Source organism: Homo sapiens, chromosome 6, assembly GCF_000001405.40.
Source record: "Homo sapiens chromosome 6, GRCh38.p14 Primary Assembly".
Taxonomy (NCBI): Eukaryota; Metazoa; Chordata; class Mammalia; order Primates; family Hominidae; genus Homo; species Homo sapiens.
In genome coordinates this window covers 42,914,080-42,939,406 of record NC_000006.12, presented here as the reverse complement: position 1 = coordinate 42,939,406, position 25,327 = coordinate 42,914,080, and the positions used below count along the sequence as shown (strand labels likewise).

At 50.7% G+C, this 25,327-nt stretch overlaps 3 protein-coding genes across 25 annotated transcripts in view, besides 7 other annotated features; all 3 read right to left on the bottom strand.

Annotated features, from left to right (window-relative positions):
* CNPY3-GNMT (CNPY3-GNMT readthrough) overlaps positions 1–9,927 on the bottom strand; it is a 34,401-nt gene extending 24,474 nt beyond the window's left edge. For 5 of the 6 annotated variants that reach the window (NR_134892.2, NR_134891.2, NM_001318856.2 and 2 more), the window contains exon 1: positions 9,686–9,927. Coding sequence is in view for 3 of the 6 variants with exons in the window: in NM_001318857.2 (NP_001305786.1) it covers positions 9,686–9,836 (151 nt within the window). In the remaining 3 variants the exon portion in view is untranslated. Of the gene's footprint in view, positions 1–3,736; positions 3,834–9,685 lie in introns of all 6 variants that reach the window. The other variant, NR_134890.2, reaches the window with a different exon arrangement.
* CNPY3 (canopy FGF signaling regulator 3) lies at positions 113–11,405 on the bottom strand. Of its 11 annotated transcripts, NR_134881.1 has the most exons (8): positions 9,686–11,405; positions 9,496–9,560; positions 4,809–4,932; positions 3,934–3,995; positions 3,737–3,833; positions 1,568–1,690; positions 1,200–1,317; positions 120–839 (listed from the first exon to the last, which is right to left on the bottom strand). NR_134881.1 is itself a non-coding variant. In NM_001318842.1 (7 exons), exons 1-7 carry the CDS (start codon positions 9,834–9,836, stop codon positions 616–618), a joined length of 936 nt encoding a protein of 311 aa, NP_001305771.1. In that variant the 5' UTR covers positions 9,837–10,277; the 3' UTR covers positions 120–615. The 11 variants fall into 11 exon arrangements, 5 of the variants coding, with proteins under 5 accessions (NP_006577.2, NP_001305771.1, NP_001305774.1 ...); NR_134880.1 differs by lacking the exon at positions 9,496–9,560 and having other exon boundaries at positions 9,686–10,277; NM_001318842.1 differs by lacking the exon at positions 9,496–9,560 and having other exon boundaries at positions 3,737–3,870; positions 9,686–10,277.
* Positions 301–803: an enhancer, noted in NCBI's record as "H3K4me1 hESC enhancer chr6:42906342-42906844 (GRCh37/hg19 assembly coordinates)". NCBI's record gives its function as "activates a minimal SCP1, AML or CMV promoter by ChIP-STARR-seq in primed H9 embryonic stem cells {active_cell/tissue: H9 hESC(primed)}" and the evidence as "EXISTENCE:reporter gene assay evidence [ECO:0000049][PMID:30033119]".
* Positions 9,209–9,318: an enhancer, noted in NCBI's record as "active region_24580". NCBI's record gives its function as "activates an Ori minimal core promoter by ATAC-STARR-seq in GM12878 lymphoblastoid cells {active_cell/tissue: GM12878}" and the evidence as "EXISTENCE:reporter gene assay evidence [ECO:0000049][PMID:35858748]".
* Positions 9,531–10,032: an enhancer, noted in NCBI's record as "NANOG-H3K27ac hESC enhancer chr6:42897113-42897614 (GRCh37/hg19 assembly coordinates)". NCBI's record gives its function as "activates a minimal SCP1, AML or CMV promoter by ChIP-STARR-seq in naive H9 embryonic stem cells {active_cell/tissue: H9 hESC(naive)}" and the evidence as "EXISTENCE:reporter gene assay evidence [ECO:0000049][PMID:30033119]".
* Positions 9,629–9,888: an enhancer, noted in NCBI's record as "active region_24579". NCBI's record gives its function as "activates an Ori minimal core promoter by ATAC-STARR-seq in GM12878 lymphoblastoid cells {active_cell/tissue: GM12878}" and the evidence as "EXISTENCE:reporter gene assay evidence [ECO:0000049][PMID:35858748]".
* Positions 10,033–10,534: an enhancer, noted in NCBI's record as "NANOG-H3K27ac hESC enhancer chr6:42896611-42897112 (GRCh37/hg19 assembly coordinates)". NCBI's record gives its function as "activates a minimal SCP1, AML or CMV promoter by ChIP-STARR-seq in naive H9 embryonic stem cells {active_cell/tissue: H9 hESC(naive)}" and the evidence as "EXISTENCE:reporter gene assay evidence [ECO:0000049][PMID:30033119]".
* Positions 10,339–10,388: an enhancer, noted in NCBI's record as "active region_24578". NCBI's record gives its function as "activates an Ori minimal core promoter by ATAC-STARR-seq in GM12878 lymphoblastoid cells {active_cell/tissue: GM12878}" and the evidence as "EXISTENCE:reporter gene assay evidence [ECO:0000049][PMID:35858748]".
* Positions 10,399–10,448: an enhancer, noted in NCBI's record as "active region_24577". NCBI's record gives its function as "activates an Ori minimal core promoter by ATAC-STARR-seq in GM12878 lymphoblastoid cells {active_cell/tissue: GM12878}" and the evidence as "EXISTENCE:reporter gene assay evidence [ECO:0000049][PMID:35858748]".
* PTCRA (pre T cell antigen receptor alpha) lies at positions 13,569–23,354 on the bottom strand. 8 transcript variants are annotated; one of them, XM_024446344.2, is made up of 5 exons: positions 23,280–23,354; positions 17,147–17,189; positions 16,060–16,380; positions 15,134–15,178; positions 13,569–14,061 (listed from the first exon to the last, which is right to left on the bottom strand). In XM_024446344.2, the coding sequence occupies exons 1-5, from the start codon at positions 23,324–23,326 to the stop codon at positions 13,906–13,908; spliced, it is 612 nt and encodes a 203-aa protein (XP_024302112.1). In that variant the 5' UTR covers positions 23,327–23,354; the 3' UTR covers positions 13,569–13,905. The 8 variants fall into 8 exon arrangements, with proteins under 8 accessions (XP_024302112.1, NP_001230098.1, NP_001230097.1 ...); NM_001243169.2 differs by having other exon boundaries at positions 13,569–14,146; positions 16,060–16,262; NM_001243168.2 differs by lacking the exon at positions 17,147–17,189 and having other exon boundaries at positions 13,569–14,191.

The following is a 25,327-nucleotide window of genomic DNA, read 5'->3' as shown; positions in this document are numbered from 1 at the left end:
CCCTGGGCCTTCCCAGCACTTGCTGCTCCCGAGAGTGGGTGGGTTTTAGCCTTCCCCTCCTCAGCCCCACGGGCTGGAAGGCGAGGGGCAGGAAAGAACAAGAGGCTCCAGGGCACCTCTGAGGGCTGCAGAGGACTCAGAAATCAGAACCAGAACATTTTTACTCTTTGGGCTCTGGGAAGGGCCAGGCAGAGTGCAAGGTGTCCACAGGAGGGGTAAGCAGAGAGGAGCTACAGGGGGCTGCAGTCCTAGTACCCTGTTGGGGAGGACTGAGGGATGGTGAGTTTGGTCTCCGGAGGGGGCTCCAGTCCTGGTGCCCAGTTCTGACACCTGCCCCTCCTGAGTTCACACTGGAGTCCTTGCAGTCCTGAAACCACAAGGCCTGCCTGAACCCTGGGTCAGGAGAGAAACACTTGGGGAGGGGAAAGGACGGCGTGGGCTACCCATGACGGCTCTGAGTTCTTCCTGGGGCTTGTGTCTTTCCTTGGCAGAAGAGGGCACAGCCAAGGCAAGGAGGGGCTGAAGGCTGCGGGGCCATCCCGGCCTGCCAGAGCCATGCCCCTGACTCCTCAGCTTCAAAATCAGGGGTCTCAGGACAGAGGATGCTGGGTGGGCTCAGAGCTCATCAGGGGGGCTGTGTGTGAGAGGGGATGCCTTCTGGATGCCCTCATCCTCCTCGGGGCTGGGGTCTCCCTCAAGGCCACCCAGCTCCTTCCTTTGTTTGCTGCTGCTACTCCTGCCGCCTGCTGCCTTGGCCCTGCTGCTCTTCTTCTTGGACTTCTTCCCTCCCAGGGCAGCTGTGTCTCCCTTCTTGCCGGACCACTGCTCTGCCAGGCAACCTAGGGTGTGGAGGAGAGAGACCCTCAACAGAAGTGCCTCAGGGCTGGGGTGCTGGGCAAGGAGCACTGAGCAGGGAGCCGTGGGAGTAGCAACTGGGACTGTGCTTGACATCAGCCTCCCTGCCTCCTGCCTCTCGCTGTGGCCACCAGGCCCCTCTGGGGGCATCTGACTTGTCTGCCCATCATTCTGCACCTGGTTTCAGTGACTCTTACTTCACCATGTCTTGCCAATCAAGCCTTTCAAGGGCAGAGATCCTACAATGCCCTCTGGTGCCCTCTGTTTCTCCTCCTACCCACCTCCCCCAAGGGAGAGCAAACAAATCATCCAGAGCCAGCCTGCCCTTGCTTCCCCAAACTCACTGGTGTCTTTTCCCTTCAGCACGTGGTTGGCGCAGAGGAATTCAGTCAGGTCTTCCTCCTGGTGGTTCCTGTACCAGTCCTCGATCACCTCCTCAAACTCTTCCACCAGCACATCACACTGTTAATCATAATACCTCATATTGGCAAAGCCCCAGCACCTGACTCGCTCCTAGAGGAGCTCAGCTAAGCCTCGCAACCCACTGCAAGGTAGGCAGTGGCAGCGGTTCACCTAAGGAAACTGAGGCCAGAGAGGTGAAATGACCTGACCAAAGCCACCCCGGCCTGGGTGGACTTCCTCAGAGCAGACCCAATCCCCACCAGCCCCTCACTGGGCACAGCAACCCTTCCAAGGGCTGAAGGGCCTGTACCTGCTTCTTGAGGTCAGCCACCTCTGCAGAAGTCTCGTTCCACAGCTCATAGGGGATGTCCATCACCACCTTGACCCCTTTGTGTACCAGGTTGTGTAATGTCTCAAAGGTCTCTGACATGCCCTGGAAGAAGCGACCAGATATGGCAGGCGGAGCTCCCTTCTCTCCCTCCCACCCTCGTCTCCCAGTGGTGGCTAAGAACCCAGCTATAAGACCAATGCTCAACGCCCTCTAAGGATCCTCATCCTTTTTTTTTTGAGAAGGAGTCTCACTCTGTCGCCCAGGTTGGAGCGTCTCAGCTCACTGCAACCTCTGCCTCCCAGGTTCAAGCGATTTTCCTGCTTCAGCCTCCCAAGCAGCTGGGACTACAAAGGCGTGCCACCATACCCGGCTAATTTTTGTAGAGTTGGGGTTTTGTCATGTTGGTCAGGCTGGTCTCGAACTCCTAGCATCAAGTTTTCCACTCACCTCAGCCTCCCAAAGTGCTGAGATTACAGGCGTGAGCCACCGCACCTGGCCTCATCCTTGACCTGACCTTCCTCTTCCCTCTTTTAGGCCTGCTTCCCACAACCCCTGCACATATACCCCCTGATCTGCCTCTGCACACCTCATCGCTTCAAAAAGACCTGCGGCTGCCCTCAGGCCCTTTGGCTTTATGCTTCTTTTCCAGGAAATAGGTTTGTCTTAGCTCTTTCCCCTCACTATGGCTGGAAACACTCCCATATCATCCAGACCTGCTGTTCCGTTCTTCCTGGGTTGTGTCTTTCCTCAGTGGGAAAAAGGCATAGCTGAGGCAGGTAGACCCTTTATTCTGTAAAAACTATCTCTGCTAGCTGCCTAGGTCTTATCCCCAGAGAAAACATACTATCCATTTCCTCTATTTTCCCAGAGATAACTCATACAAATACCAATATCTAAATATATCCTCCCCCCGCCTTTTTACACAAGCAGTGGTATAGCATACACACTATTTTGCACTTGCCCTTTTTACTTATACCTTGAAGGGCTGGGTGCAGTGGCTCATGCCTGTAATCCCAGCACTTTGAGAGGCCAAGGTGGGCTGATCACCTGAGGTCAGGAGTTCGAGACCCCCTGGCCAGCATGGTGAAACCCCGTTTCTACTAAAAAACACAAAAATTAGTCGGGCGTGGTGGTCGGTGCCTGTAATCCCAGCTACTCAGGAGGCTGAGGTGGGAGAATAGCTTCAATCTGGAAGGTGGAGGTTGCAATGAACTGAGATCGCACCACTGCGCTCCAGCTTGGGCAACAGAGTGTGAGACTCTGTCTCCAAAACAAACAAACACACAAAAACCTTGAAAATCAATTGAATTCAGTTCCTAAAGAGCCTCCCCATGCTTCGTTTCCAGCCGCATACTAGTCCACCAAACGGCTGGATCAACGTATTTAATCCCCTATTGGTAGAGTTAGATTGTTTCTCATTTTTTTCCTGCTATGAAAAATAATTCTTAAACACTTTTTATTAAAGCAAACACAGATTTATTACTGAGTGCAAAATTCATACAAATTTCTGCTGCTTGAGACTATTCCCTTAGGTATCCCAGGAGTTTATGAATGGTATCCTTTGCTAGAAGGAAACTTAGGTAGAAAAATGTGGGTGGCAACTATCTTACCCTGTGCCAGGCACTGAAGATGTAGAGAGTAAGAACTATGGGCCTTGTTGTAAGCAGCTCATTCTCCAGAGAGAAAAGCACTCGTACACATACTGAGTACATGGGCCATCACAAGGGCATCCCAGCGGGGTTGTGGGAGGTGCTGTGTGGACCCAGAGATGGGACTGGGCAGTCACTCCCACCGAGGTGTCCTCTGACACCTCGCCTAAACCCCCACCTTTCTGCACATCGTGGATCTTGCTGAGTTCTCCCCGTTCTAGTGTCTTTAGGTTCCCACGGGGGCAGCAACTGTGGAGCATTTCTGCCTGTGTCTGAGATTGAAGCAGGACCCTCATGAACAGGCCCAGACCCTCATGCATGTGCCTGAAAAATGAGGCCACTCAAGAGGGGAGGAGCACAAACGGCAATCAAAGAATGGGAAGAGGCAATGAAGGAAGATCCCAGGTGGTCATCTTCAAATCACACTCACACCAGCAGACACACTAAGATACATGCAGGCCTGACCCCAGAGCGGATGAAGGACAATCCCGAATCCAACCTTGGCAAATCGATTGCTGCCGGTCCTCTCCTTGTGCAGGCTATAATCCAGGAGCCTCTTGCAAATGGTCTCAGTGACTTCGATTAACCGCAAGTCCCTGCCAAGACAGGAGGATGAGGAACTGAGTTCCCCTCCTAGCCGCAGTGGGTTAGTGGTCTGTCCCTCCAGCCCTGTGCCCCAACACCTGCACATCTCACCAATGGGAAGTGACTCAGAGCTGGAAGGAAGATAGGTCATCTGGTCTGGGGGATCTGAAATGCTGGAACACAGACCAGAGAGACAAAATTTTAACAGCTCTAAGGGAAGGAATTTTTTATAAAGCTAAATGATTCAGTATTTAGATTTTTTGATAAAGCAAAATTATTAAATTTTGATAGTAAAATATCATTCTCTTTGAAAGGATGATCACAGCTGACAGAATTGGGTTTTTAAAAACTATATTTGTACCTAGCAAAATAAAAAGCTGGTAATCCTGTTACTAATGTTTTAAAAAATTGCACTGTGGCCGGGTGTGGTGGCTCACACCTGTAATCCCAGCACTTTGGGAGGCCGAGGCAGGCGGATCATCTCAGGTCAGGAGTTCGAGACCAGCCTAACCAACATGGTGAAACTCCATCTCTACTAAAAAAATACAGAAAATTAGCTGGGCGTGATGGCACATGCCTGTAATCCCAGCTACTTGGGAGGCTGAGGCAGGAAAATCTCTTGAACCCGGGAGGCAGAGGTTGCAGTGAGCAAAGATCATGCCATTGCACTCCAGCCTGGGCAACAAGAGTGAAACTCCGTCGCAAAAAAAAACTTGCATTGCTCTGTGAAATCCAAGCGTCTGAGAATCAATGATATAGTCCAACAGTCTTGCTTTTAGAGATGAGAAATCTGCTGAAGCATAAAGAAGTTAAGAGATTTATGCACGTCACCCAATTAGCTGGGGACAGAATCAGTGGGCAAACTCAGGTCTTGGTTACAAATGATGCCCTTGTAGGGGGTTTGCCTAGCTAGGAGAAGGGAACTCCAAACCCCTGAAGCCTCCAGCAGCAACGCAGGCCAGGCCAGTGAGTCCCCATTCACTTACGACTTGGTGTATTTGACTCCAGAGGCCTTCTGGTCCAGGATGCCATAGCCCGTGCCAATCACCTCCTTGGTCTTGCCGGTTTCCTCAAAGGCTGACTTCAGCTCCACAGCAACATATTTACACACTGGGGGAGGGAGGTAGCACAGCCCACTGAGTGCACATGAGTCTAATGGGAGGCCAGCTCCCAGCAAAACAGATCCAGGTGGGCATCCTTTCCTAGACTGGAGGACCAAAATCAGCACTCAAGGCAGGGAAGGAGTTAGAACCTGTGGAGGCTAAAGCAACTCCATCTTGGATGCTAATGTGCCATGTTGACTTCTGATTAACCCCAGTTTCAGGAATGCCTCTAGGATTTCTATTTTATCTACTGTTTCTTGTGTAAGAGCATGTACTTACTGTAAATCCTGCCCTTAAGCAATTGTTCTTCGTATTCCTTTTTTTTTTTTGAGATGGAGTTTCGCTCTTGTTGCCCAGGCTAGAGTACAATGATGAGATCTCAGCTCCTGGGTTCAAGCGATTCTCCTGCCTCAGCCTCCCAAGTAGCTGGGATTACAGGCATGCACCACCATGCACGGCTAATTCTGTATTTTTAGTAGAGACAGGTTTCATCTTGTTGGGTAGGCTGGTCTTGAACTCCTGACCTCAAGCGATCCGCCCACCTCGGCCTCACAAAGTGCTGGGATTACAGGCGTGAGCCACCACGCCAGGGTCTATCATTTTACTTTCTAAAATTGCATACATACAGAAAAGCTGAAAGAACACAATGAATACCTTCCACTTGTATTCAACAGTTGTTAATAGTTTGCCACATTCTCTCTTCAATATATAATTATAATATCTCAACAATATATACATTTCTTTTGCTACACCATCTTGAAAGTAAGTGGCAAACATGACCTTTTGAGATAAATATATCATCATGTATCTCCTGAGAAAAAAGACCTCCTCCTACATAACCATAGAACAATTATGATACTTGGAAAATTAACAATTCCAACATCACCCAGTAGTCCATATTCAAATTTCCTTAATTGTCCCCAAAACATCTTTTATGGTTGTTAGATTACTTGATTTCATATGTGTTCCAACATCAGCTCTATTTCTACCAAGTTAATTTGCTCCATGCCCTCCAGAGAGCTCTTGTTCCTACTGTCTCCGCACATTTATTTCCTCATTTCCTCTTACCCTTCCTCAAATAGGTATTAGGCAACTCCTACGTGTCAGCCTGGGGATACAGAGATGAAAACAAGGTCCCCTCCCTTCCAGATACTCAGTCTAATGCAGCAGATAAAGGTGTAGACAAATAACTACCACTGTATAGAGTGCTACAGTGCTACCACCGAGGGTGTGAAGTGCCTGAGGCCCTAGGAAAATACTTAATGCCTTCTAAGGGCTTCTCTGCCCATCCTGCCCACCTCGCATTATAAGCCTCTCCCCCAGGAAGCCATTCTGCACTAATGCCAATTGCTCTAGATTTCACTCTGGGCCTCTGCAGGATCCATGCTCTCCCTAAGGACCCTCAGTCATTTGATGTGTCTCTCCACATAGACCACAAGGGTCCCCAAAATGTGCATTATGTATTAGATTTTTTCGTATTTCCTTAGCCTGGGACTTGATATATGCTGGACGCTCGATAAATCTTGTTGATAGAGACCGTCTTCTGATGCCTCTGAATGGAATACCAGTCTGAAGGCTAAATGCCATCAGCAGTTTTAACACTGACAGCACAGTCTGCTAGAATACCAATTTACCACAAAAATAAATACATCCCCTGGAGGCCTGCTTGGTGAAATTAATCAATGGCTTGGAGAATTTGAAACACATACAAATTCCAAGTAATAAGCTGGTGATCTTCAAGTCTGCAATGAACTGGGGATGTCTCACCTCCCCAGCTCTCCATCCAGGACCATCTGGGCTCCCTCCCCTCTTCTGTCCTGTACTCTGTGCAGGCACATCATTTTTCTAGCACCACTTGCCCCTCCTCCCACGCCCTCCCCAGGAGTGGGGAAAGGGGAGGTTTGGAACATCCTTTCTCTCTCATACCCATCAACCACAGCCTTGCTTTCCAGCTCTTCCAAACATTACCTCTTCAAGACCTCCTCTGCGGATCCCACCCAGAACCAGACTCACAGGAGATTCACGGCACAGACACCAGACCCTCACTGACATCCACCCACTCTTTTTTTCCGGGCAGGTTCTCCTTCCTCTGTGCCGAGGCCTGTTCCACTCAGGCTACTGAGCCAGGAGGCAGGCTTGGTGGGCTAGACACAGTCAGCATTTAATAACAAAGGTGTAATAATAATACAAACAAATATACTATTAAGATGAACCTAACGGTTGGAGTTTGCCAAGCCATCCTGTGACTGCAAATCCCTTTTCAATTAATCTTCATCAGTTACCAAATGAGGGTAGACTAGAATGATCTCTAGATATAGAGATATAGAGATCCTGGGCATCTCTATGCTTCCGTGAGTCTGTGAATGTTGCCTAAGGAGAATAAATGTGAGCTCCTTAGGCTATGAGAATAATAAGAGGGAGAGTATGGGCTCTTTGATATCAGAATAAGACAGAATACAGGCTGGGCACGGAGGCTCATGCCTGTAATCCCAGCAATTTGGAAGGCTGAGGTGGGAGGATCACCTGAGGTCAGGAGTTCAAGACCAACCTGGCCAACATGGTGAAACCCAGTCTCTACAAAAATACAAAAATTACCCGGGCATGATGGCAGGTGCCTGTAATCCCAGCTATTCAGGAGGTTGAGGCAGGAGAATCACTTGAACCCTGGAGGCAGAGGTTGCAGTGAGCCGAGGTTGTGCCATTGCACTCCAGCCTGGGCAACAGAGCAAGACTCCGTCTCAAAAAAAAATAATAATAATAATAATAAGACAGAAAAGAAAGAGAAGAGGAAGCGAAACGCTGAAAGGCTATCAGTTAGCTGGGCTGGGTGCAGTGGCTCACGCCTGTAATCCCAGCACTTTGGGAGGCTAAGGTGGGTGGATCACCCGAGTTCAGGAGTTCAAGACCAGCCTGGCCAACATGGTGAAAACCCGTCTCTACTAAAAATAGCCGGGAGTGGTGGCACACACCTGTAGTCCCACCTACTCGGGAGGCTGAGGTAGAAGAATCCTTGAACCTGGGGGACGGAGGTTGCAGCGAGTCAAGGTCGCACCACTGCACTCCAGACTGGGCAGAGCAAGACTCCGTCTCAAAAAAAAAAAAAAGGCCAGGCACGGTGGCTCATGCCTGTAATCCCAATACTTTGTAAGGCCGAGGAGGGTGGGTCACTGGAGGTTGCGGTGAGCCAAGATCGCGCCACTGCATTCCAGCCTGGGCAATAAGAGCGAAACTCCATCTCAAAAAAAAAAAAAAAAGCTATCAGGACTAGAGGAAGAGCGAAAAGTGAAAGGGCGGCCAGGAGCAGAGGCTCACGCCTATAAGCCCAGCACTGTGGGAGCCCAAGGCAGGTGGATCACTTGAGGTCAGGAGTTCAAGACCAGCCTGACCAATATGATGAAATCCCATCTCTACTAAAAACACAAAAATTAGCTGGGCATGGTGGCATGCGCCTGTAATCCCAGCTACTCAGGAGGCTGAGACAGGAAAATCGTTTGAACCTAGGAGGCAGAGGTTGCAATAAGCCGAGATCTCGCCACTGCACTCCAGCCTGGGCAACAGAGCCAGACAGTCTCATAAAAAAAAAAAAGGAAAAAAAGAAAAGAATGTACGGGGGAAGGCACAGGCTTGAACTCATACTGGGTGCCCTACCAGTGAAGTCGGCTTATCTCTAAAGCATCCTTTTAATCTCTCTAATGGAAGGATTATGTGTCCGAAACTTACCCCAAACCCACTTTCCAGTGTTTAGGGAACATCTGGCCTGATGTAGGCTTTCAATTCAGATGAGAGATTCACAGCCAACTTTCTGGGGGCCCTGGGGTTACGGGGCTAGGAAGGCAGGCATGACTGTAAGGTCTGAGGAGAAAACTAAGGGACGGAGTTGAGGAAAAAGAAATAGGTCCTTTATAGTCCTGGCTCGCTGGTAGCTCCCTCTCTCTCTCTCTCTGTAGTTCCTCAACGCCTATGTCTTTGGGACTCACCTTTTCTCCAAAGTCCTAAAATCTTCTTTCAAGTTCCCCATAGGCTCTATTGTTCCCCCAAAGGGCTCCTCAGATCCAGATCCTCCTCCTCACACACACCCACAGTCTCCCATTTAATCATCTGTATTCTCAAAACATTTATTGAGTGCCTACCAGACACTGTGTGAATACGTATCTAAGACAAAAATTCCTGCCTTCGAGGAGTTGTTAGTGGGTGCAACAGACAACTACACAGATTGGGTTGCAGTGAGGGCAAAAGGGGAAAGTCTTAGGTTTTTTTCCCCCAAGATGAGTCATCTGGAGCTTTTCAGTTCCTCAAACTCGTTCTTAGCTTCTCAGCCGGCAGGCCTCTGCCTCTGTAGTTTCCTGAGTGGGCCCCTCTCTTTCCACTTCTCTTCATCCGGCTAACTCCTAATGCCTCTTCGTGCTTCCTGTATGAAGCCCTCTTTGACTCCCCTCTGCACACAGCCTTCGCCCACCCCCTCCCCCACTCCAGGCTAGACCAGATGCTCCTCGTCCGGCCCCCAAAAGGAAGCTCTGTACCTCCCCTATCATGGCATCTACTACTCTGAATTATCATTGCTTGTTTCTACCAATGTGTGAACTCCAGGGGTACCGGGACCAGATCTCTCGTCCGCCGCAGCGTCCCGGCGCAAGCCTGTTCAAGGAAGGAAGACACCCTGCAGAGCTCGGAACCTTGCAACCCCCGACGCTGCTCCGCAAGCACCACCGCTGGAGCCAGCCCCTCCGGCAGGATACGCCCCACGGGCCCCGCCTCCTCACCTTCGCATTTGCTGGGCAGGCGAACCCAGTCGTTCTCCTCAGCTCCGGCCTGGCTCGGGCCCAGCTCCGGGGCCGGCAGCAGCAGCAGCAGCAGCAGCAGCAAGGGAAGAAGCAGAAGACAGCGGGACGCGGGCTCAGGCATTGAATCCATGGCCCGGCCGGGCCCGGACCCTAAAGGACCGGGCGGTTCCTCCTCCCGCGGCGCGCGCGGAGCAGTTTCCCCTCGCCGCTTCCGGGACTGCACACGTGCCTCCGAGCAACCACGACAACAGCTAGCCTCCCGCCCGCCCTCCTCTCGCAGCCGCAGCCCGCCTTCAAAGCGGACCAAGGCCCGCGGACGGCGCAGCCAATAGGCTTTCTGGGGTTTGCTCTCTAGCTAATGGGAAGACTATCTTTTTACGCCCTTGGCCAGTAAGAGAGCAGATGGTGGCCTCAGCGACCTATGGCAAAGTCCTTTCCCACCCCCTAACGGAGGCTCTGGGAGAGAGAGGATGCAGGACCAAGACCCGAGAAGAAGCCTGCGTCTGGGCCTGGGTGGGACGGATTCAGGCGCGCAGGTGCTGGAAGATGTGGGGAAGGCCGTCTTCGCGGCTTTCTCCGCCTCCTCGAACGTCACTTCCCTCCTGGGGTCCTAATGCCGCAAGTCCTTACTGAACATCTGTTTTTAAATTTTATTATTGGTATTGTGGTTGTTATAGCCGGGCACTCTTGTAGGCGCTTAAGGTGCAAGCAGGACGACTCAAACTGTCCCCAGCCTTCACACTTTTTTAGTAGCCAGTAGATTTGTCCTAGTGAGAACTAGAACAAATGACTTCCTCTCTGAGCCTGTTTCTATTTGTATGACGACAAAGTGATCCTCCTAGCTGCTGTGGGAGCTTGCCTGTTGTTGGGAAGCTCAAATAGGTTAATAGAATTAAAGCTTATCGAGCAGATTGTAAAAAGTTCAGGCATTAATTTTCTTTTTGTATGTAATCCCAGCCCCTTTTACTGCCCTATTATTTATTTCTTGATTCTGAGCTCTCAGAAGGCAGAAATTTAGCCGATTAACGATTGTCTCTCCCTTCCGCTTCCCCAGCAACAACAGGGTGCCTGGCACAAGGAGATACTCAGTAAAACTCTCATCTGCTGTGTCATTAAGGGGAACACTTAATGGCTCACGCCTGTAATCCCAGCACTTTGGGAGGCCGAGGCGGAAGGATCACCTGAGCCCAGGAGTTGGAGACCAGCCTGGGCAACAGATTGAGACCCTGTCTCAACAAAGAAGAAGAAGAAGAAAAAGGCCAGGCGCCGTGGCTAATGTCTGTAATCCCAGCACTTTGGGAGGCCAAGAAGGGAGAACTGCTTGAGGCCAGGAGTTCGAGACCAGCCTGGTCAACATAGCGAGACACCCCCCCCATCTCAAAAATAAATAAATCAAAATAAAAAATAAAGAGGAGGCCGGGCTTGGTGGCTCACGCCTATAATTCCAGCACTTTGGAAGGCCGAGGTAGGTGGATCACGAGGTCAGGAGTTCAAGACCAGCCTGGCCAAGATGCTGAAACCCCATCTCTACTAAAGATACAAAAAGTTAGCCGGGCGTGGTGGCACACGCCTGTAATCCCAGCTACTCGGGAGGTGGAGGCAGGAGAATTGCTTGAACCTGGGAGATGGAGGTTGCAGTGAGCCGAGATCACGCCATTGCACTCCAGCCTGGGCGACAGGGCAAGACTCCATCTCAAAAATAATAAATGCCGGGCGCGATGGTTCATGCCTGTATTTCCAGCACTTTGGGAGGCCAAGGCGGGCAGATCACAAGGTCAGGAATTCGAGACCAGCCTGGCCAATATGGTGAAACCCTGTCTCTACTAAAAATACAAAAAAAAATAGCCGTGGTGGTGGGTGCCTGTAGTCCCAGCTACTTGGGAGGCTGAGGCGGGAGAATTGCTTGAACCCTGGAGGTGGAGGTTGCAGTGAGCCGAGATCGCGCCACTGCACTCCAGCCTGGCGACAGAGCGAGACTCCGTCTCAAAAAATAAAAATAAACAAATAAAAATAAAGAGGAGCACTCTTGGTCTTCTTTAGGCTGCCCCTGAACTCAGTGTCCTACAGACGCACACAGACCAAAGTTGCTTCTCTGGGAAGTTGTCTGCAAATTGGCCATAAAACCCTGTTCCCTGATACCTTCTTGTTTCCTTCCTAGAGGTTGGATATTTATGCTATTTTATGAAGACTTCAGAGCACTGAGGCCCAGGCCTTGCCACTTTCTGACTTTAGTTTCTTGTCCAAAACTGTGTTGGTAACAAAGCACTTTGGATAGGCAGGGGCTGTGGCATGTGGAATTCCACAGTGTACAAGATCAGGACACCCTCCTAAGGTCCTCCATGTTTTCTAGGCTTGATAAGACTTAGGTTGGCTCAAGCTGGGCACAGTGGCTCACACTTATAATTCCAGCACTTCGGGAGGCCAAGGCAGGCGGATCACTTGAGGTCAGAAGTTCAAGACCAGCCTGGCCAATGTGGTGAAACCCTGTCTCTACCAAAAAATACAAAAATGAGCCAGGCATGGTGGCGTGTGCCTGTAGTCCCAGCTACTTGAGAGGCTGAGGTGGGAGAATTGCTGGAACCTGGGAGACAGAGATTGCAGAGAGTTGAGATCGCACCACTGCACTCCACCCTGGGGGACAGAGTGAGACCCTATCTCAAAAAATAAAATAATAAAATAAAATATAAAATAAAATAAAATAAAATACTTGGGTAGGCTCAGAGCTTGGCCATGGCCCTTGATTCACCTCGGCTCAGAAGCCCTCCTGGGAAATAAGATTAAGCCAGCCTGACAGTGGAGATTGAGAAGCCTGGGCTCAGCATCTGGCCGGACAGCTAGGAAGGGATAGTGGCCAGAGAAAGTCTGAGGCTATAGTTGGGCCCCTGCCCACACCCTCCCTCAGTCTGTGTGTCAGAGAAGGAACATGCCTTGTGGGGATGGTGGACAGATTCATCCGTAGAAGCTATGGGACCCTCCCACCCCAGCCACCAGCACCCAAGAATCCCCAAAACAAGTGGGAGAATCTCCTTTCAGGCTGGTGAGAGATGAGCAGTGGAGGAGGCAGTGAGAGTTTTTATGGAACAGTAGCTGAGAGAGCACAGAGGCTCAGGGGAGCTGAGGGTGTCCTTGAAACCATGTGTTGGGGTGCTGGGGCATAGTTCCCCATCCCCTCCCTGGGGGAAGGAAGACTAAAGTTGATCCAGCAGACTATCCTATGGGGCCCAAGGGACAGGTGGATTTACATGACAGCACCCAGAGTCTCTTGGAGTGATTACTAGCAGAGAACCCTTGGGAAAGTCTGGATTTCCTGCCAGCGCTGGGCAAGCAGGGGACGCACACGTTATGCTCTACTGTGGAAGCCTCATACTTGATCAATACAAGAATCTTCTTTATGTAACAACCAGACCAAAAAAGCCAAACCTCTTTAGTACCTGGCTCAGGGTTGATACTTAAAGAATATTTGTCAAATGAATAATGACTCTTAATTGATTAATAAACTGTAAGTTTGGAATTAATATCTCATACTCTTGTTATTGAAAACGATCCTGTTCCCCAGAAACCCTGGCCCTGTTCACCTCTGTACGAGAGTTCACATCAGACCCACCACCCACCTTCCTGGGTTCCTGGGCTCTCTGCCCTGACCTCTCACAGAGGTTGGGCCAGGGTGAGGAGAAGAGGGGGCCTCCCCGCTTGCTGTTGGGGGAGGAGACAGCCGCCTTCCCAGCCACCAGTCCCACTCTGCAGTTCCCAAGTTCTGTCTCAGGAAGCCCTCTTCCTCAAGGGAGCTTTCCTGGATTTTTCCTACTTCTAACTCTGCCAAATTCCTTCCTCCCAGGATAGACATGAATTCAAATATTTTTCATTTGCTGTGTCATTTAAGTTCTTTTTTAATGTTCTCAGTCATCTGCTCCCTAAATGCCCCTGTAACTGGGTGGATCACCATTCTCAAGGGGCCCCCTTTTGGATGGCAGAGACACAGCCTCACACAGTGTGACGCAGGGGAGGTAGAGCCCTGCCCTCAGGCAGCTCCAGCCTGCAGAGGAGGAGGCAGGTCACCTGCAAAAAATGCTCCAAGACTGGAGGAAGGAGCCCTGAGGGCAGATCTTGAGCACCAGGCCTGTGCTGGGCAAGTGGGGTAACTGCTGAGGTAAGACCCTTCCCCCCATACTGGGCTCCCGGGCTTCCGACCCGGAGGGGTGTCACCCCAGCGGCGGTCCCGAGGCTGGGGTCTGGGTGAGCTGGTGGCCTCTCGTCCCCCAGTCTCCGTGGCCGGGTGCAGTCGATGGGAGCCGAGGGCTCGCAGGCGGGTGGTGGTTGCGGGGGAAGGCAGCGGGCCCGCGGGGTCGCACAGGCAGCTGCAGGTCAGGAGCAGGTCAAACAGCAGCAGCTTGAAGAGCAGCAGCCGCAGGACCCCCAGCCACAGCGCCCCACCCGGTGTCCCTGCGAGGAGGAACCGCTCAGGAGCCCGCAGGAGCCCGCAGCCCCCTACCCCAGGAGAGAACGGCGGAGAGGGCCTTGTCCTCTGCCCTTGCCCGTCCCCTTCACCCCCTCCTCCAGGGAAAGTCCTTCCCGGTGTCTAGCCTCCGTTCTTACTGGTAATAATACATACCTTCCTGGCCTTCATTTTATTTTATTCCCCAACAATCATGGGGGTAGGGGTGGGGGCCACGCAGGAATTAATTAGCATCTGATGCAGAGAGTAACTAGCTCAAAATTCTTTTTTTTTTTTTTAGATGGAGTCTCACTCTGTCACCCAGGCTGGAGGGCAGTGGCACGATCTCATCTCACTGCAACCTCCACCTCCCGGGTTCAAGTGATTCTTCTACCTCAGCCTCCTGAGTAGCTGGGACTACAGGCGTGTGCCATCACGCTCGGCTAATTTTTGTATTTTTAGTAGAGACGGGGTTTCACCATGTTGGCCAGGCTGGTCTCGAACTCCTGACCTCGTGATCCACCCACCTCGGCCTCCCAAAGTGCTGGGATTACAGGTGTGAGCCACCGCACCCGGCCTCAAAATTCTCTATTTGGTCGGGAAGCAGAGTTGGACCACAGCCCAACTTCATGACTGTCCGTCCAGGCTCTTTCCATCACCCCAGACAGCCTCCCATTTACACGGCCTCTAATGCTGAGACCCCCCTGCCTGGGCTGCCCAAGGAGGACTCCAAAGACCCCTCTGTTAGCTGTCACCTGTGCTTCTCAACTAATGTCCAGGAATTAGGCTGGGGTCAAAGGATTCACCCCCATCTTATGCTAGGTAGACTGAGGCCCATGCTAGCCAGTGCCCCAACCTAGCATGACAGCCTCTACATGGGACACCTACTGACCTCCAGTGTAAGACCCATTAGGCCAGAGCTGAAGGCCCCACCCCCCGGGCCCAAGGTCCTGGTCCCAGCCTCTTATTCCCCACCCCTTGCCCGGAGTACTCACCCCTGAGAGGCTCCTGGGGGCAGGTCCTGGCTGTAGAAGCCTCTCCTGTTGTCCAGGGAGAAGCGAATGAGTCTTTGGGGATGGGCCATGCACTCTGGAGGGCATCCCCAGTGCTATGCCCAGGCCCTGGCACAGGGTGGGTGTCGAGGCATTTGGGGTAAATGGACAAGTGAGCCAGCAGCAGAAACCCTGAGCCCATTTGCTGCAAGTCCTCTGAAGACCCAAACATCCCTCACTTTGCAGTGTCCCCTGTTCTGTGCCCTGGGGAGGCTGGGGAGCCCGGAACTCTCAGATAAGGAACTGACTGTCTTCGCAGCATTCTTTGGAAGTCAGGGCACTTAGTTAACAAACATTCCCATTTGAAAGATGACAAAATTGAGATAATCCCTAGAGAGGAAGTAAGTCATCTGGTCAGTGATAATAATAGCTGACTGTTTCAAAATACAATGGAGGGGGAAACAAAAATAGCTGGCTTTAGACATGTTGCTTAACCTCCCTGTGCCTGTAAAATTGAGGGAATTATATGACCTGTCTCATAAATGTGAAGTCTGTAGAACACTGCCTGGAACAGAGTAAACACTCAATAACTGGTAGTGATTTGTTAATTAGTTTGGTCCTTATAGGGTGTCATGTACACAGGGTGATTATCTATGTGTGTATAATGAATCCTAGGTGGAAGGAGGCATTTTTATCCTTGGAAGCCATGCTGCAAAGCCTGGATTTCAAACAGATATTGCAGTGGCAAATCCCAAAATTCATGGCCCTGAGGCCACTCTCCCCTGAGCCCAGGTGTCACCTCACCCAGAGGCTCTGCGCTTGGACACCCTTCATGCCTTTGTGGCCTGGAGCCTGCCCTCCCTCCAACCATATCCTGGTGTGTGGAAGGGGACAGGGAGCATCCGCAAGGGCCCAGGCTCCATCCCCACCTGACAGATGCATGGGCTGTGTACTCCTGCTGTGACCCTCAGCCCCAGGCCCAGTGTGGCAGACCAAAGGCTCCCAGGATGCCAGCTCCTCAGAAGGCAGGGAGAGATGGGCCAAGTTGGTCCAGGTGCCATCCGTTGCTGGGGAAGGGCCATAGGTGAAGGCATCCAGTGCACTGCCATTGCCGGCTGAGAACCAGATGGGGCTGTCAAGGCCAGGGGGTGCAACATCAAGGACCAGGCAGACCACCACCATCTGCTGCTTTCCATCCACCAGCAGCATGATTGGTGGGGCCAGAGAAGGAAAGGGTGTGCCGCCCACACCTGCAAGAGAGCATGTACCTGTGGGTGCTAGACCAGCTTTTGGCCTCCCAGGCCAGCATTGTGTTGTAGGCTAGGGTTCTACATTTCTGTCTTTCCATCCATCCATCCTTCCACCATCCATCTACATGTCCTTCTAGCCACTCATCCATTCCTCCTTGCATTTTCCCATCTAGCCACCCTTCCTTCCCTCCATCTGCCCATCCTTTCATTCACTCACCTGTTTATCCATCCTTTCTTCTATCAGCCATCTATCCTCCATGTATTCTTTCTTTCTTTTTTTTTTTTTTGAGATGGAATTTTGCTCTGTTGCCCAGGCTAGAGTGCAGTGGCGCGATCTCAGCTCACTGCAAGTTCCACCTCCTGGGTTCATGCCATTCTCCTGCCTCAGCCTCCTGAGTAGCTGGGACTACAGGTGCCCGCCACAGCGCCCGGCTAATTTTTATTTTTATTTTTAGTAGAGACGTGTTAGCCAGGATGGTCTCGATCTCCTGACCTCGTGATCCACCCGCCTCGTCCTCCCAAAGTGCTGGGATTACAGGTGTGAGCCACCATGCCCGGCCACCTCCATCTATTCTTTCTACCTTTCATCTATGTGTCTATCTATCCATCTACCCACCTCTCCTTCCATCCACTTGTCTATGATATCCGAGCCCCTTTCTGTTCCAGGAACTAGAGATACAACATTGGGTAAGTCATTGTCCCTGCTCTCAAGGAACTCAGTTCCATGGGAAAGACAGTAGATGTGTAAAAAAAATACTTGTAATACCCTGTTGTGGCAGCCTCTGGTGAGGAAGGGAAGGAAACAGGACCTGGAATGAGATTAGAAGGGGCTTCAAATATATCTGTAACTTTTTGTTTCTTTTTTTAAAAGTCTGATTTAAATATGGCAAAATGTTAAACGTTTGTTAATCTAGGTGGAGTGTGCTTGGGTATTTTTTCTTTTATTCTCAGCCTTTTTCTGTAGCCTGTAGTTTTGTTTGTTTGTTTTTTTGCTTGCTTTTTGAGACGGAGTCTTGCTACGTCTCCCAGACTGGAGTGCAGTGGCACCATGTCGGCTCACTGCAACCTCTGCCTTCTGGGTTCAAGCCATTCTTCTGCCTCAGCCTCCCAAGTTCCCACGCCACCAAGCCAGTTCATTTTTATTTTTATGTTTTTACTAGAGACTGGGTTTCTCCATGTTGGTCAGGCTGGTCTCTGACTCCTGACCTCAGGTGATCTGCCCGCCCTGGCCTCCCAAAGTGCTAGGATTACAGGCGTGAGGCACCACACCCAGCCTTTTTTTTTTTTTTTTTTGAAAAAAAAAGCTTTGTTGGCCGGGCACGGTGGCTCATGCCTGTAATCCCAGCACTTCGGGAGGCCAAGGTGGGCAGATCACGAGGTCAGGAGATCGAGACTATCCTGGCCAACATGGTGAAACCCCATCTCTACTAAAAATACAAAAATTAGGTGGGCTTAGTGGTGTGTGCCTGTAATCCCAGCTACTTGGGAGGCTGCGGCAGGAGAATCACTTGAACCAGGGAAGCGGAAGTTGCAGTGAGCCTAGATCACGCCACTGCACTCCAGCCTGGCGACAGAGCAAGACTCTCTCTCAAAAAAAAAAAAAAAAAAAAAAAAGAAGCTTTGTTGGCTGGGTGCGGTGGCTCACGCATGTAATCCTAGCACTTTGGGAGGCTGAGGCAGGGCGATCACCTGAGGTCAGGAGTTTGAGACCAGCCTGGCCAACATGGTGGAACCCCATCTCTACTAAAAATACAAAAATTAGTCGGGCGTGGTGGTGCATACCCGTAGTCCCAGCTACTCAGGAGGCTTGAAGCAGGAGAATCGCTTAAACCCAGAGGCGGAGGTTGCAGTGAGCCAAGATCATGCCACTACACTCCAGCCTGGGCAACAGCACAAGATTCTGTCTCAAAACAACAACAACAACAAAAAAGGCTGGGTGTGGTGGTTCATGCTTGTAATCCCAGCACTTTGGGGGGCCAAGGCAGGCAGATCACCTGAGGTCAGGAGTTCGAGAACACCCTGGCCAACATGGCGAAACCCCATCTCTACTAAAAATACAAAAAAATTAGCTGCGTGTGGTGGCACGTGCCTGTAGTCCCAGCTACTCTGGAGACTGAGGCACAAGAATCGCTTGAACCCGGGCAAAGGTTGCAGTGAGCTGAGATCGCGTCACTGCACTCCAGCCTGGGTGACAGAGTGAAAAAAAAAAAAAAAAGCTTTGTTTAGATATAGTCCACATACCAGACAATTCACCCATTTGAAGTATAGGTGTATTATTTAATAATCTTAAGAACTAAGTCATGGCTGGGCGCTGTGGCTCAAGCCTGTAATCCCAGCACTTTGGGAGGCCAAGGTGGGTGGATCACGAGGTCAGGAGATAGAGACCATCCTGGCTAACACGGTGAAACCCCGTCTCTACTAAAAATACAAAATAATTAGCCGGGCGTGGTGGCAGCCGCCTGTAGTCCCATTTACTCGGGAGGCTGAGGCAGGAGAATGGCGTGAACCCGGGAGGCGGAGCTCGCAGTGAGCCAAGATCGCGCCACTGCACTCCAGCCTGGGCGACAGAGCAAGACTCCGTCTCAAAAAAAATAAAAATAAAAGAAAGAACTAAGTCATATGGGTACTACAAACATTTTTCCTATATTTTCCAAAATAATCCCTATTTCCCACAATCTTTTATTATTTTTTATTATTTTATTTTTTTGAGACGGAGTCTCTCTCTGTCGCCCAGGCTCAAGTGCAGTGGCGCGATCTCGGCTCACTGCAAGCTCCGCCTCCCGGGTTCACGCCATTCTCCTGCCTCAGCCTCACGAGTAGCTGGGACTACAGGCGCCCGCCAACACGCCTGGCTAATTGTTTATATTTTTAGTAGAGAAGGGGTTTCACTGTGTTAGCCAGGATGGTCTCCATCTCCTTGCCTCGTGATCCGCCTGCCTCGACCTCCCAAAGTGCTGGGATTACAGGCGTGAGCCACCTCACCCGGCCTATTATTATTATTTTTTGAGACAGGGTCTAGCTCTGTCATCCAGGCTGGACTGCAATGGTGTGATCACAGTTCACTGGAGCCTTGACCTCCTGGCCTGCCAAGTAGCTGTGACCACAGGCACGTGTCACAACACCCGGCTACATTTTTAAAATACCTGTAGAGACATGGGTCTCCCTATGTTGCCTGGGGTGGTCTCAAACTCCTAGGCTCAAGCTATTCTTCCACCTCAGCCTCCCAAAGTGCTGGGATTACAGACGTGAGCCACCGCACCTGGCCCAGAATGTTATTTTTGAACATTGTAATTTTTTTTCTTTTTTTTTTGAGACAGAGTCTCTCTCTCTTGCCCAGGCCGGAGTGCAATGGCATGATCATGGCTTACTGAGGCTTTGACCACCCGGGTTCAGGCAGTCCTCCCACCTCAGCCTTCCCAGTAGCAGGGACTACAGGCACGTGCCACCATACCTGGCTAATTTATTTTTTATTTTTTGTAGAAATAGGGTTTCACTATGTTGTCCTAGCTGGTCTTGAACTTCAGCGCTCAAGAGATCCTCATGCCTGGGCCTCCCAAAGTGCTGGGATTATAGGCATGAGCCACTTTGTCCAGCCTGCAGTTTTTTGTGAATTAGGTATAGCCAAACGAAAGAAATGTCCCAGAGTGCAGGGAAGGAGGCCAGAGAATCTTGTGAGGATGTAGGGGTAAAGGGTACTTAGGAAAGATTTCTTACAAGCCAAATAATTAGCCTAGGCCAGGCGTGGTGGCTCACGCTTTTATTCCCAGCACTTTGGGAGGCTGAGGTGGGCAGATCACAAGGTCAGGAGATCGAGACCATCCTGGCTAACATGGTGAAACCCCGTCTCTACTAAAATACAAAAAATTAGCCGGGCGTGGTGGCACGCGCCTGTAATCCCAGCTACTCTGGAGGCTGAGGCAGGAGAATTGCACTCCAGCCTGGCGACAGAGCGGGACTCTGTCTCAAAAAATTAAAAAAAAAAAAAATAGGTGGACGGATCATGAGGTCAGGAGATCGAGACCATCCTGGCTAACATGGTGAAACCCTGTCTCTACTAAAAATACAAAAAATTAGCCAGGCATGGTGGCAGGCACCTGTAGTCCCAGCTACTCGGGAGGCTGAGGCAGGAGAATGGCGTGAACCCGGGAGGCGGAGCTTACAGTGAGCCAAGATTGCACCACTGCACTCCAGCCTGGGCGACAGTGCGAGACTCTGTCTCAAAAAAAAAAAAAAAAAAATTATCCTACTAACACATAAATGGTAAGTTGTCCATTCAGGATTTGAACTCTCAGATCTCTGTGACTCCAAATCCCCTAAACCATCTCACTTTGAAGGATGACTAAGATTTTGCCATGTGACACAGTGGACCGTCTAGGACATAGCTTCAGACAGAGCTAAGCGTGACTCCTGACTCATTCACTTAATTTTCTGAGTCTTTATTTTATTTCATTATTATTATTATTATTATTTTTGAGATGGAGTCTCACTCTGTTGCCCAGGCTGGAGTGCAGTGGCAGGATCTCTGTTCACTGCAACCTCCACCCACCGGGGTTCAAGCGATTCTCCTGCCTCAGCCTCCTGAGTAGCTGGGATTACAGGCACCTACCACCACGCGTGGCTAATTTTTGTATTTTTAGTAGAGATGGGGTTTCACCATCTTGGCCAGGCTGGTCTTGAACTCCTGACCTCGTGATCCACCTGCCTCAGCCTCCCAAAGTGCAAAGTGCTAGGATTACAGGCATGAGCCCCATGCCTGGCTTTTTTTTTTTTTGAGACTGATTCTGGTTCTGTCGCCTAGCCTGGAGTGCAGTGGTGGGATCTTGGCTCAGTGCAACCTCCTCCTCCCGGGTTCAAGCAATTCTCCTGCCTCAGCATCCTAAGTAGCTGGATTACAGGCACCTGCCACCATGTCCAGCTAATTTTTGTATTTTTTAGTAGAGATGGGGTTTCGTCATGTTGGCCAGGCTGGTCTCAAACTCCTGACTTCAAGTGATCTGCCCGCCTTGGCCTTCCAAAGTGCTGGAATTACAGGCGTAAGCCACCGCGCCCAGCCAATTTTCTGACTCTTTTTGTTTGTTTTGTTTTGTTTTCATTATGTATGTATTTATTTATTTATTTAGGTTGAAGGAACAATATTTTTTGTGAGTCCCAATGGTCTCATCAATATAATGGTGTTAGGCCGGGCTCAGTGGCTTATGCCTGTAATCCCAGCACTTTGGGAGGCTGAGTCAGGTGAATCACTTGAAGTCAGGAGTTCGGGACCAGCCTGGCCAACGTGGTGAACCCCTGTTTCCACTAAAAATACAAAAATTAGCCGGGCATGATGGTGGGCGGCTGTAATCCCAGCTACTTGGGAAGCTGAGGCAGGAGAACCGCTTGAACCTGGGAGGCAGAGGATGCAGTGAGTTGAGATTGTGCCATTGCACTCCAATCTGGGCAACAGAGCAAACTCTGTCTAATAATAATAATAATAATAATAATAATAATAATAATAATAATATAACGGGCTGGGTGAGGTGGCTCACGTCTGTAATCCCAGCACTTTGGGAGGCTGAGGCGGGCGGATCATGAGGTCAGGAGTTCAAGACCAGCCTGGCCAACACAGTGAAACTCCGTCTGTACTAAAAATACAAAAAATTAGCTGGGCGTGGTGGCAGGTGCCTGTAATCCCAGCTACTTGGGAGGCTGAGGCAGGAGAATCAAGTGAACCCGGGAGGTGGAGGTTGTAGTGAGCCAAGATCACACCATTGTACTCCAGCCCGGGCGACAGTGCGAGACTCTGTCTCAAAAATAAATAATAATAATAATAATAATAATAATAATAATAATAATAATATAATGCTGTTAATAATACCAGCCCAGCAAAATTGTTGTGAAGAGTAAAGGCCATAAGTGTAAAATGCCCTGGCAGATAAGTATTAGTGCAATTGTTGATATTAATATTAATAAGGCATTGCAAACAAAGGTAGTAGAGAAGGCTGGGCACGAGCTCCAGGACTCAACCTCCAGAGCCTTTTCAGTTATATAGATAGAGACATTCCCCAAGTTGAGTTCAGCTTCCACTTCTTCCATGAAGCATCCCAGGATTGTCCCTGCTTACCCTGGTTACTTCCTTCCCGAGCTCAGGCCTCCTGCCATGGGCTCCCTGTGTTCCACATAGGTGTGGTTTATCTCCCTAATGAAGGAGTGCCTGTGAGATACTTGGGGCCAGCTCTAGATCAAGGAGACCCCCCTGACTCAAAAGTCATGGACCTTCCCCCACCACGTACATGCACACATGCACATGCTTCTAGATGAAGCTGGAATTTTCCCCTCAAAACATGAGTCCTTTGGCTCCAGCCTTGATCATGGGAGGGCTGGGGGTAAATACCCTGGGAAGAGGCCTTGGGTCCTATCCTGAGCCCACTGATAAGCGTGAGCTGTGAGTGAACTTGAGACACCCTGAGTCCTATTGAACTAGGGCAGGCATCCTGAGGGCAAGAAGGACAGGACAGGACCTCACACTGTTACCCATATGACATCATTGCATATCACATCACACACACTGGCTACCCTAACCCCACCTTCTATGGATGTCCATCCAGTTTGTTCTCATTTCTCTATACCTCTAAGAGGGGCAGCCTCCCTATCAACACTGTGGGCTCCAGGGCAGGAGGACATAGGAGCCCCAGAGCAAGGTGGCTGGGAGGAAGAGTACAATGGGAAGAGTATAGTGGGGACCCTCTATATAGGGTCCCCTCCCCAGAGGTCCCCTCCCCAGAGGGACCCTCCCCAGAGGTCCCTAAATATCTCTTGTCCTGCCTCCCTGCAGCCCATCAGTACCCAGGGAGGTCCAGAGTGAGGGGATGGGCTTCGGCAGACTGAGGAGGGACAGAGAGGAAGGCAAAGAGGGGGCTCACCTGTGGGTAGGGCTGGACACCCAAGGGCCAGGAGAAGTAGCAGCCATGTACCGGCCATGGCCCACTCGGAAGGAGGCAGGACCCAGCTGCAGACCTGAGTTGCGGCTGGGGGAGGAGGCACCCACAAGACTGCCTTCTAGGCCACAGGCCCAGCTGCACCTCAGCTGCTCTACCACGAGCCGTTTCCCCTGGTGACGGGCCCCTACTCCTGCCCTGGCCCCCAAACCCAATCTTGTCTCACGGGCCAGGGAGCACAGGGTGCCTCTCCCACACCAGGAGCCGGACACCTGCACTCCCTCTGAAGAGACAGCACTTCAGTCTGCAAAGTCCCGCTTCAGGGCAGCTACCATCCACAGGACACGGAGCACCAGGTGGCTTGACAGGGGCTTGACATACAGCCCTTCACTTGATCCACTCAACCACTGAGTTACATTTCACAGGTGAGGCAACTGAGGCTCACAGAGAGTGAGGGACCCGCCCAGGGCCACACAGCTGACAGGTACCAGAGCCAGGGCTTGAACTGTTTTTAGATGGCTGGCTTTATTATAGGCAAAAAGATACCCAGGGCCAGGCGCAGTGGCTCACGCCTGTAATCCCAGCACTTTGGGAGGCTGAGACGAGCGGATCACAAGGTCAGGAGATCAAGACCATCCTGGCTAACACGGTGAAACCCCGTCTCTACTAAAAATACAAAAAAATTAGCTGGGTGTGGTGACGGGCACCTGTAGTCCCAGCTATTCAGGAGGCTGAGGCAGGAGAATGGTGTGAACCCGGGAGGTGGAGCTTGCAGTGAGCCAAGATTGTGCCACTGCACTCCAACCTGGGCGACAGAGCGAGACGCCATCTCAAAAAAAAAAAATAAAAAAAGATGCCCAGTAAACTTTTTGCCATGTTGTTACAGCCCTCCTTTTATTTATTTAATTTTTTTTTTTAGAGATGGGGTTCTTTCTTTGTTGCCCAGGCTAGAATGCGGCAGTACAATCATAGCTCACTGCAGTCTTGAACTCCTGGGCTCAAGTGATCCTCCTTCGTCAGCCTCCTGAGTAGCTAAGACCACAGGCATGCGCTACCACACCCAGCTAATTTATTTTTATTTTGATTTTTTGTAGAGATGGAGTCTTGCTTTGTTGCCTATGTTGGTTTCGTACTCCTGGGCTCAAGCGATCCTCCTGCTCTGGCTTCCCGAAGTGCTGGGAGTACTGGTGTGAGCCACATGCCTGGCATTTATTATACCATTTTAACTTTTTTTTTTTTTTTAAGAGACAGGCTTTTACTCTGTCACCCAGGCTGGAGTGCAGTGATGCGATCACAGCTCACTACACTCTTGAAATCCTGGGCTCAAGCAATCCTCCCACCTCAGCCTTTTGGATTTTTTGGAGACAGTCTGGCTTTATCACTCAGGCTGGAGTGCAGTGGCATGATCTCACCTCAATGCAACATCTGCCTCCCAGTCCCAAGCGATCCTCCTGCCTCACCTTCCCAAGCAGCTGGGACCACAGGCACATGCCACCACACCCAGCTAAATTTTTGTGTTTTTTGCAGAGACTGGGTTTCATCATATTGCCAGTCTGGTCTCGAACTCTTGAGCTCAAGTGATCCACCCTTCAAAGTTCTGGCATTACAGGCATGAGCCACTGTGCCTGGCGTCCTTTTGTTTTTAATCAGACATTCTGTTACAGCAGCCATTCCTTTATTGTTAGACATTTGGGTTTCCAGTTTGGGACAATGGCCATCTTTGTTCATAAAAGCTTTTCCAAATTTGCTTTTTTTTTTTTTTTTGGAGATGGAATCTCTCTCCGTCACCAAGCTGTAGTGCAGTGGTGTGATCTCGGCTCACTGAGACTTCTGCCTCCCGGGTTCAAGCGATTCTCCTGCCTCAGCCTCCAGAGTAGCTGGGACTACAGGCGTGCGCTACCATGCCCAGCTGATTTTTGTATTTTTAGTAGAGATGGGGTTTCACCATGTTGGCCAGGATGGTCTCGATCTCTTGACCTCTCAATCCGCCCACCTTGGCCTCCTAAAGTGCTGGGATTACAAGGGTGAGCCAC